This window comes from Homo sapiens, chromosome 21 (assembly GCF_000001405.40).
Source record: "Homo sapiens chromosome 21, GRCh38.p14 Primary Assembly".
NCBI lineage: Eukaryota > Metazoa > Chordata > Mammalia > Primates > Hominidae > Homo > Homo sapiens.
In genome coordinates, this window is record NC_000021.9 from 42463239 (window position 1) to 42472408 (window position 9170).

At 46.7% G+C, this 9170-nt stretch overlaps 4 annotated features.

Annotated features, from left to right (window-relative positions):
- Positions 639-1150: an enhancer, noted in NCBI's record as "H3K27ac-H3K4me1 hESC enhancer chr21:43883987-43884498 (GRCh37/hg19 assembly coordinates)". NCBI's record gives its function as "activates a minimal SCP1, AML or CMV promoter by ChIP-STARR-seq in primed H9 embryonic stem cells {active_cell/tissue: H9 hESC(primed)}" and the evidence as "EXISTENCE:reporter gene assay evidence [ECO:0000049][PMID:30033119]".
- Positions 3923-4082: an enhancer, noted in NCBI's record as "active region_18518". NCBI's record gives its function as "activates an Ori minimal core promoter by ATAC-STARR-seq in GM12878 lymphoblastoid cells {active_cell/tissue: GM12878}" and the evidence as "EXISTENCE:reporter gene assay evidence [ECO:0000049][PMID:35858748]".
- Positions 4619-5818: an enhancer, noted in NCBI's record as "MED14-independent group 3 enhancer chr21:43887967-43889166 (GRCh37/hg19 assembly coordinates)". NCBI's record gives its function as "activates an origin of replication core promoter dependent on BRD2, BRD4, P300/CBP and CDK7 cofactors, and independent of MED14, by STARR-seq in HCT116 cells {active_cell/tissue: HCT116}" and the evidence as "EXISTENCE:reporter gene assay evidence [ECO:0000049][PMID:35650434]".
- Positions 5942-6031: an enhancer, noted in NCBI's record as "active region_18519". NCBI's record gives its function as "activates an Ori minimal core promoter by ATAC-STARR-seq in GM12878 lymphoblastoid cells {active_cell/tissue: GM12878}" and the evidence as "EXISTENCE:reporter gene assay evidence [ECO:0000049][PMID:35858748]".

Below are 9170 nucleotides of genomic sequence, written 5' to 3' on the forward strand. Positions count from 1 at the left end.
TTTTCTTTTATCCCCCTAAGTAAGGAAACAAAGGACTAGTTGTTGACAGTCTCATACCCTATTGTTACTTAGTCTCATTTTTCCAGAACCTCCTTTGTCAGTAGCTTTGTGTATAATTTGAGTAGTCCCCCACATAATGTTAATCAATTCCATGAAACCTTACAGCGTTTCCAAGATTGAAAATTTCCCTTTGCCATCCATTGGTGTTATATTTGTATTGTGTTGTGGAAAATTTGACAATCAGAAAAACTGATTGCCAAGGGCGTGGACACAATGGTTAGAGGCAGAGAGATGCTCAGGCTAAACAGGGCAGGTGTTCAGTGAGGGTGCAGCCTTTAAATGGTGCGTTTGTGGCAAATATTTTCAAGGCAGTCTGACCACTTTTGCTTCTCTACCAACTTTCTAATACGGGGTCCGAATAACGAATGCTTGGAGGGCATCCCTGGCCTACCCCAGCCCCAGGCACAGTGCCTGGCACACCCTTAGCTTTCCAGAAATAGTTATTGACTGGATGAATTGCTAATTATGGTAAATGGCATTGGTAAAAAAAAAAAAAAAAACTTCAGCCAAATTAAATTTAAAGGAGTTTAATTGAGCAATGAATGATTTGCGATGCGAATCAGGCAGCCTTCTGAGCCAGGGTAGGCTTAGAGACTCCAGCTACGTGATGGAAGCATATTTATGGACAGAAAAAGGAGAGTGAAGTACGGAAAACAGAAGTGAGGTAGGGATGCAGCTGCATTGTTTACAGCTCGGCATTTGCCTATTTGGATACAGTTCGAACAGTTGGCTGCATTTGATTGGCCAAAACTCAGTGATTGGCACAGGTGTAGGCCAATCTGCTTACACCTCCACTTGTTAGTGTTCACGACTTACAGAGAACCCTTTAGGCTGAACTTAAGTATGTACGGAGGCTAAACCTGGTTTAACAGCATAAAGAAAAACAAAAGAGCCAGGAAAGAGGACACCAGAGAGGCCTTAAAGAGTCTAGAGGCAGGGAAGGCCTCTGTGCGGGGTGAAGTGGGAGGAAGTGGCTGAGGAAAAGAGGAGCATGGGGCAGGAAGTACGGGTCAGGTCGGGCGAGGGTACCACGTGTGAGTGTGAGGCAGGAGCGCAGCAAGGTGGAGATGGGGAAGGCGCGATGACGTGGGCCCTGCAATGACGCTTGTCTCTGTAAACCACAGAGCAGCAGCGGTGGACAGGGACAGAGGCAGTAAACACAGGGCATGGTCCCCTCCCCACCCCAGGGCCAGCAGCCCTAAGGAAGAGTGACTTAGGAGAGTAGTGGCTGACCAGCTCCAGCAGGGCCTGGGGTCTGTAATCCTGCTTGAGGGCTTCCAGAATTCCAGTGCTGCATGCTACTTTAGGTTTAGAAATAAAAGTATTCAGCTGGGTTTGGTGGCTCATGGCTGTAATCCCAGCGCTTTGGGAGGCCAAGGCGGGAGGATCGCTTGAGCCCAGGAGTTTAAGACCACCCTGGGCAACATAGCAAGACCCTGTCTTTACAAAAAATAAAAAAAATGAGACTGGCTTGGTGGTATTCACCTATAGTCCCACTACTCAGGAGACTAAGGTAGCAGGATCTCTTGAATTAAGAGGTTGAGGGTATAGTGGGCTGTGATTGCACCACTGCACTCCAGCCTGGGGAACAGAGTGAGACCCCATCTCTTAAAAAAAAAAAAAAAAAAGAAAAGAAAAGAAAGAAAAGCATTCTCATAGTGTGATTCCCTTGTACCTGTAATAGGTCCATTGCCTGATGCACTCTGCAAATCAATATGCTAAGACCCTGGGCTGCAGCAGAGAAAGAGGCTTAATCATGGGGCTACCAGAAGAGGAAATGGCAGGAAACCTCAACTGTATCTCCCCAAGGAGTGTGGGGCTAGGGTTTTTAAGGGTTTTGGCGTAGGCTGCAGTGTGGAGATGGTTGATAGGTTGGAGAGTGGAATGAAGCCGTGGACAGGGAGATGGAAAAATGGTGTTCTCATGCTGACTCGGTTCCTGTTGTGGGGATCTTCAAACCGGTTGGCAACAGCTGTTCTGCTGGAATTCAGGATCTGCTTAAGCAATTCTTAAACAGAAGCCTTACGATTCTAACAGCAGGGAAGTTCCTGTCTAGAGGAACAGTGGGGTGCAGATGGTTGGTATCTCATGCTATGGGACTTTCCCTTACAAGGAAGTGGGTCAAAGTGTAGCCTGATTAATGTTTAATTGTAACGATATTTCTGTCCAGAACTATTCTTAACCCTGAACCATGGCTCCACCATGATTTCAGATAGCAGCAGCAGCAGCTCCCTTCACCCTCCGCCTTTCTTTCTTTCTGCACCCTTTTCTACCTTCTGTCCCTTCCCTGCCTCCCTCTATTAATGGTGCCCTGACCACAGTTCCTCCCCTTTCTCCACTATCTACTTGCCCACTCAAAACCACCACCATAACCACAAAATGCTGTGTGCAGTCCCAACAAGAGTGTCCTCTGAGGCTGCGATCTCAGGGCAGGAGAACAGAGAAGTCATCCAGGGTCAGGGCCAGCCCTCATACCAGCTGGGGGAAGAGCAGGTGGAGTTGAAGGGTTTCTCCAAGGTGGAGGTCCCAAAACCCCCTCTCAGGAAGGCATTGATGCAGGGCGGTGCTAGACATCCCCTAGACAGGCTCCGGTGAAACTGCCTTTGCAGTATATTATGACAGTAAGAGAAGTCTGACATCATTGACTCTATCTTGCTTCTGACTACCACGCCATCCTTGGTCATTCCTGGGCACAGGCCAAGCTAACTTTGGGGAGAATTTATAGTTTAACTTGAAAGCAAGGATGATAACAGTCCCTTCCTAAAACTAACCCCATCCATGCTCAGGAACTGAAAACCACCTTGTAAGACTAATGAAAGGCCACAAGAATAGGATTGTAGGAGGGACCTGAATTCTGCTAAAATGTAGGCATAGTGGCCGGGCGCGGTGGCTCACGCCTGTAATCCCAGCACTTTGGGAGGCCGAGGTGGGTGGATCATGAGGTCAGGAGATCGAGACCATCCTGGCTAACAAGGTGAAACCCCGTCTCTACTAAAAATACAAAAAAGCCGGGCGCGGTGGCGGGCTCCTGTAGTCCCAGCTACTCGGGAGGCTGAGGCAGGAGAATGGCGTGAATCCGGGAAGCGGAGCTTGCAGTGAGCCGAGATTGCGCCACTCCAGTCCGCAGTCCGGCCTAGGCGACAGAGCGAGACTCCGTCTCAAAAAAAAAAAAAAAAAAAAAAAAAATGTAGGCATAGTTTCTATAATCCCTTCTTTCCAGGGGCCATATGGGGATTTGTGATTTTTCCCAATTGCTTCTATAAATAACATCACTATTGTAAAACCTAAGTGTTTTTTTTTTTAATTATTATTATTTTTCCAGACTGACCCTTTGGGGATCTGGGACTCATGACTCAACCGGTCTTGTGGCCCCACCCAGATGCAGACTCAGTACATGTGGACCATTTTCTGCACCCCTGTGATTTCATGCCTAACCAATAAGCAGCACCCATTCCCTAGCCTCCTGCCCACCAAACTGTCCATAAAAACCCTAGTGTCCAAGGCTTTGGGGAGAATGATTTGAGTAGTAACTCCAGTTCTTCTGCGTGGGCCAGCCTCGTGTCAGTGACACCTCTTCTCTACTGCAATGCCGTGGCCTCGGTAAATTGATTTTGTCTGTGCAGTGGACAGGAAGAGCCCATCGGACGATTACACTGGCCGGGGGCCTGCTCTGAGGATGCTGACGCCAAGGAGACTCAAGAGAGCTGGCAAAGGCCGGGAACAGCCCAAGGTGGTAAAGATACCTGAAATAAGAATCACGCACATCTTGAGATCAAGATGAATATCTTAATATTTCAGCTTATGATAAAGACATTTGGTGATCGAAACTTTTCTCTACCCAGAGTCAGTCACATGCTGCAGTCAGTCTCCATATCTGGTCAGCTCCTGCCAGAGCCAACCCTTCTGCAGACAGCAGCTGTCCACGCTGGAGAAATTACAAAAAATAACTGCCTGATGCCAGCGGAGAGTGAATAAGATGAAACCAATTCTGGAAGGGCGTTGACACTTGGAAGAAAGGAGGGCAGCAGGGAGCTTCTGTCATGAAGGCTGTGGTGGTGGCGGTCGTAGCCATGACAAATGACCAAAGGAAAACAGAAAACCGCAGGCTTTCTGGTCTGCAGAGCCAGCAGACTAAGCTCATGGCAGCCGCAGCTGATAAAAAGCAAGTGAGCACCCAGGACAGAAAAGGCCACAAGGAGGAGCCTCAAATCCTGTGGGTAAACTCTGCCCAAATTAGATCATCAGAGCTTCAGCCTTTGGTGACAGAAGCCCTCATCTGCACGTCTTCCCAGCAAAATGGAAAGCGAGCATTCCCCATACAAAAACCAAGTGCACTAGACTTCCAGCCACTGGGCTGAGCTCTTCCCCCAACTCCGACTCTCCACCGCTCCCAGCTGTCCTAATTGAAACTCAGAGTGGAATACCAAGGTCTTTTTAAAACAAACAAACAATATTCAAACTTCTCATCAAGGACGCAGTTGAGAAAACAGCAACAGTTTGTTGTTGAGCCACAAATTAAGCAAAACCTTGCTTCTGACAAAGGACAGAAAATGTAGAGGATTTCTACAATCCAAAGAACAAAACAGCCCAATACAAACTTGAAACATATTTGAACAGGCATTTCCCAAAGGAAGATATACAAATATTCAATAAGTACATGAATGAATGCCCAGTGTCATTAATATTAGCTAAAAAGGACATGATGGGGGCAACTGGTACAATGTGAATATGCACTATGGATTACAAAAATTATATCAATGTGAAATTTCTTAATTTGATAATTATACTCTATATAATATCTTGTTTTTACAAAATAGATACTGAAATAGGCCTATCATACTCAAAAGGTTGTGAAGAAATGGTGTATGTCTACCGTGTATTTATACCTTCTCTACATGCTATTCTCCCTCTGTCTCTCTCTCTCTCTCTCAGCAAGATGATAAAGCAAATGGGGCAAAACGCAAATAATTGCTGAGTCTAGTTAAGGAGTATAGAGGAGTTTCATTCTCTATTCTTGCAAGTTTTCTTTAAGTTTAAAATTATACAAAAATAAATTACAAAACATCAAAAACACTAAAAAGTACTGAAGTTTTCAAGGACCAATGGGGTCTTGTCAACCGGACAAAACAGTGGCATGAAGAAGCTACCACTGGCCAAAGTTGTGTCTGTCTCTGCATCATAAAGAAAAGTGATTGGAGTGGATTGAAATGCATTGACTCAGTGACATCCACAAGCCCATGGTGACTATGCAAAAAAGATCCAGAACAAAGGGACTTGTCACCTTTGAAGCATCTGCTAAACTAACACCTCGCTTATAAAATTGGTCATACAAGGGAAAGAATGAAAGGTTTTATTCTGTTTTTCTAGGAGGAGCTGCATTTCATGGGAACCAAATAAATCCATGATTTACAGCCTAATAAATTCAGAAGGAACAGTGGAGTTGGAAAAACACCATCTCGCAAACCATACTTGTAGTGGGCTGAATCATGACCGCAAAGATATCAGGCCCTAATCGTTATCTGGGGTTAACTAACAGTGGATCAACCAGATAGGCTATGCCTTAGGCTGTAATGAAGGAGGAAGTCTGTAACACCACAAATGTGAATTCCAGCTAAGAACATTACCGTGAATCCACCAAACCTTTAGCTCCAGCTTCTTTGGCAGTAAGAAGTGCCCAGAGCTTAAAGAACAAGAGAGCCCAGACAAGCCCAGAAGATGAGATATTCTGCCAGGCAGCCCGCCCAGTCCCTTCAAAGCCAGCAACATGAAAGGGACTGCACTGAATGAAAAGAATGGGGTGCAGGGATTTCCATGAAGCTGACAGCCTCCAGCTTCAGACTCTGCACAGGCACAGGCCCCTTGCAAGGTCCAGACAGGGTGTCCACCTGGCCCTGTGTTTCATCTATTTTGCATTAGTGAAGGATTTTAACCATAATCGTGCCTCTGCCACTTTCCCCTCTAATTTCAATCAGACATGTGTCCCCTCAGGTGGAAGGGCATTGAAGTGGCCACAGGCACTTTTAGAATCTGTTTCAGGGGCACTAATTGAATTGAATCAAGGGTGGATGTGGTGGTTTGGGTTCCAGAGAGTATTTGTGTATGCCACTGGTTTGCAGTAATTTTCATATGTAGTACAGTTTCTGCCACCTGTCCTGGAGTAGTATCACTTCCAGAAATACTTCTAACACTCATTTTGCTACTTACCTAGAATTGAGACACGTAAGTGCAGGGTCAAACTTCAAATCCCAGTATGAACCTGTCCTCCAGCTCCAGCACCATTGCGTGTGGGAGTGCAGAAGAAATTAGGTTCAAAGTGCACTGAGTCAGAAGCTGGGCTATGGAGATCATTTCAATCATCAGAAGTGGAAAACTGTAAGAGTGCGCTGATGCCTGCTTCTAACCAGAATATCTCCTGTCAGGGGCGTAATGATATATCATATATATTTTTTTCTTTTTTTGAGACTGGGTCTCAACTCTATTGCCCAGGCTGGAGTGCAGTGGTGCGATCACAGCTCACTACAGCCTCAACCTCCTGGGCTCAAGTGATCATCCTGCCTCAGCCTCCTGAGTAGCCAGAATACCAGGCTAATCTTTGTATTTTTTGTAGAGATGGGGTCTTGCTATGTTGCCCAGCTGGTCTTGAACTCCTGGTGCTCAAGTAATCCTCCACTCAGCCTTCCAAAGTGCTAGGATTACAGAAGTAAACCACCATGACCAGCCCATCATATATAATTTTTTTTTTTTTTTGAGATTGAGTCTCGCTCTGTCACCCAGGCTAGAGTGCAGTGGCACGATCTCAGCTCACTGCAACCTCCGCCTCCCAGATTCAAGCGATTCTCCTGCCTCAGCCTCCCGAGTACCTGGGATTATAGGCGCATGCCGCAACTCCTGGCTAATTTTTGTACTTTTAGTAGAGACAGGGTTTCACCATGTTGGCCAGGCTGGTCTGGAACTCCTGACCTCAAGTGATCCATCCACCTCGGCCTCCCAAAGTGGTGGGATTACAGAAGTAAGCCACAGTGCCCTGCCCCTGTCATATCTAATTTTGGATAAGAATCCATGCAATTGGATTCATCAGCACACCTGTTTGTCATTTGCAATCCTGTAGCAGTTTCGTGCACGGTGTTATGTTTGTATGTGAAGATGAATGTTTTATGCCCCTCAATTATCAGTAATGAACAAACCACACTAAAGAAAGAGTGTAATTATCTTGCTAATATCCCTATAGAAAATATTACAAAATAGTTGTAAAAAGAGGCAATCAAAGAGTATGCTGGAAAAAAATGCAGGAAAAGACGTATTACAGAGTTGTATTAAGCAGTGAATTCATAACAATATTCTGATAGTTTTCTAGATTTTGTGCTGCTTATCCACTTTTCATTTGTAATTTTATTATAATTTATTTTCCTATTCTAAATAAACATTTGTTTTAATCTAATTTTATATTCATAATGCTGTATGTGCTTTCTTTTTTAGATTTTTTTTAAATGTATTTCTTTAGGCTGGGCACAGTGGCTCACGCCTATAATCCCAGCACTTTGGGAGGCCGAGGCGGGCAGATCACCTGAGGTCAGGAGTTCGAGACCAGCCTGACCAACATGGAGAAACCCTGCCTCTACTAAAATTATAAAAATTAGCCAGGCGTGGTGGCAGGCGCCTGTAATCCCAGCTACTCGGGAGGCTGAGGCAGGAGAAACATTTGAAACTGGGAGGCGGAGGTTGCAGTGAGCCAAGATCACGCCACTGCACTCCAGCCTGGGCAACAAGAGTAAAACTCCATCTCAAAAAAAAATGTATTTCTTTAGAGATGGGTATCACTATTTTGCCCAGGCTAGACTCAAACTCCTGGGCTCAAATGGTCCTCCGGCTGCAGCCTCTCACGTAGCTGGGACTACAGGCTCGCGCCACTATACTCGGCTTGTGTGCTTTGTCTTAAAGAGGCCCTGCTCCATGAAAGGGCCGTGTATGCAAAGTAGACCCCAAATGCCAAAGGAGCCAAGAAACCAAAGGAGAAGGCAGACAAATCCAGTTTGTGGATATTGGTTGATGTATTGGGGAACTTACACATGGAAGCGTGGCCCTGGGCGGCCACAGGACAGGTGGCTCTCTGCACTGTTACTCCCCAGACCTGGGGCTTATATACTGCAGGGAAAGGGCGTACACGCTCCAGCAAGACAAAGGCAACTCTCCAGGACAGCAAGAATGCCATGTGCACTGTGGCCTCTAATTTGTGCGGCAACGTCAAGGTTGACAGGTTCTTACACTAGAGACAGTAGATAAAGCGGACACCAGGAGGCATTCAAGGGACTGGGGCCGATCAGACGTGAACATGGTGGGTTAGCATCCAAGAAGGAGCCACTTTTGTCTCCAGGGGCCCCCTGTTTAGAGACATAGCCCCCAGATTATGTCTCTAGAGGACATTTTGGGGTGAACTGATAGTGTCTGGGGTGAACTGTTTCGGGGTGAACTGAAGATGTCTGGGATGAACTGAAAATGTCCTTGACATTTGTTAAACTAACTCTAAAGGACATTTTGGGGTGAACTGAAGACACTTGCCCTCTGAGTAACCCAGGGGAGGGGAGGATACATGAAGCAGAGCCATGAGAGCCATGCACGATGGGGAGTCGGGCTCCCCTGGGAGGTCCTCGCTTATCTGCCCAGGAACAAGGGGGTGGCCTGGCATTGGGGAGAGAAAGGAGAGGCAGAGTCTGAGACAGTCCTCAAGAAATAAGAATGAGGTGCAGGTGGCAGCCTCCAGTACACTAAGAAACGGAAGCGTGTGCAAAACAGGCCAAAGCCTGGCCTGTGGGCAGCCCTTCTCCCCAGCCACCTGCAGGGCCCCCACAGTGGGCCTGGGCTCCACATGGAGAAGCGAAGGAGTGGGAGGGAACCCTGCGGGGCAGCGGGCGGTCTCCTACCCAAGCCGGCCGTGTACCCATCACACTGCATTCGAGGAGCATTGCACACAGCAATCCTCATGTTCTAAGTGCTTCCTACCTCCCTTGTGGGAAATCTGAGAGAGGGGTTTGGGTACAGAACTACTCTCCCAGCTCAGCCAGAAGCCAAACTTCCATTCACCGTCTCCCGCAGATTTACAGTTTTCTCTATCC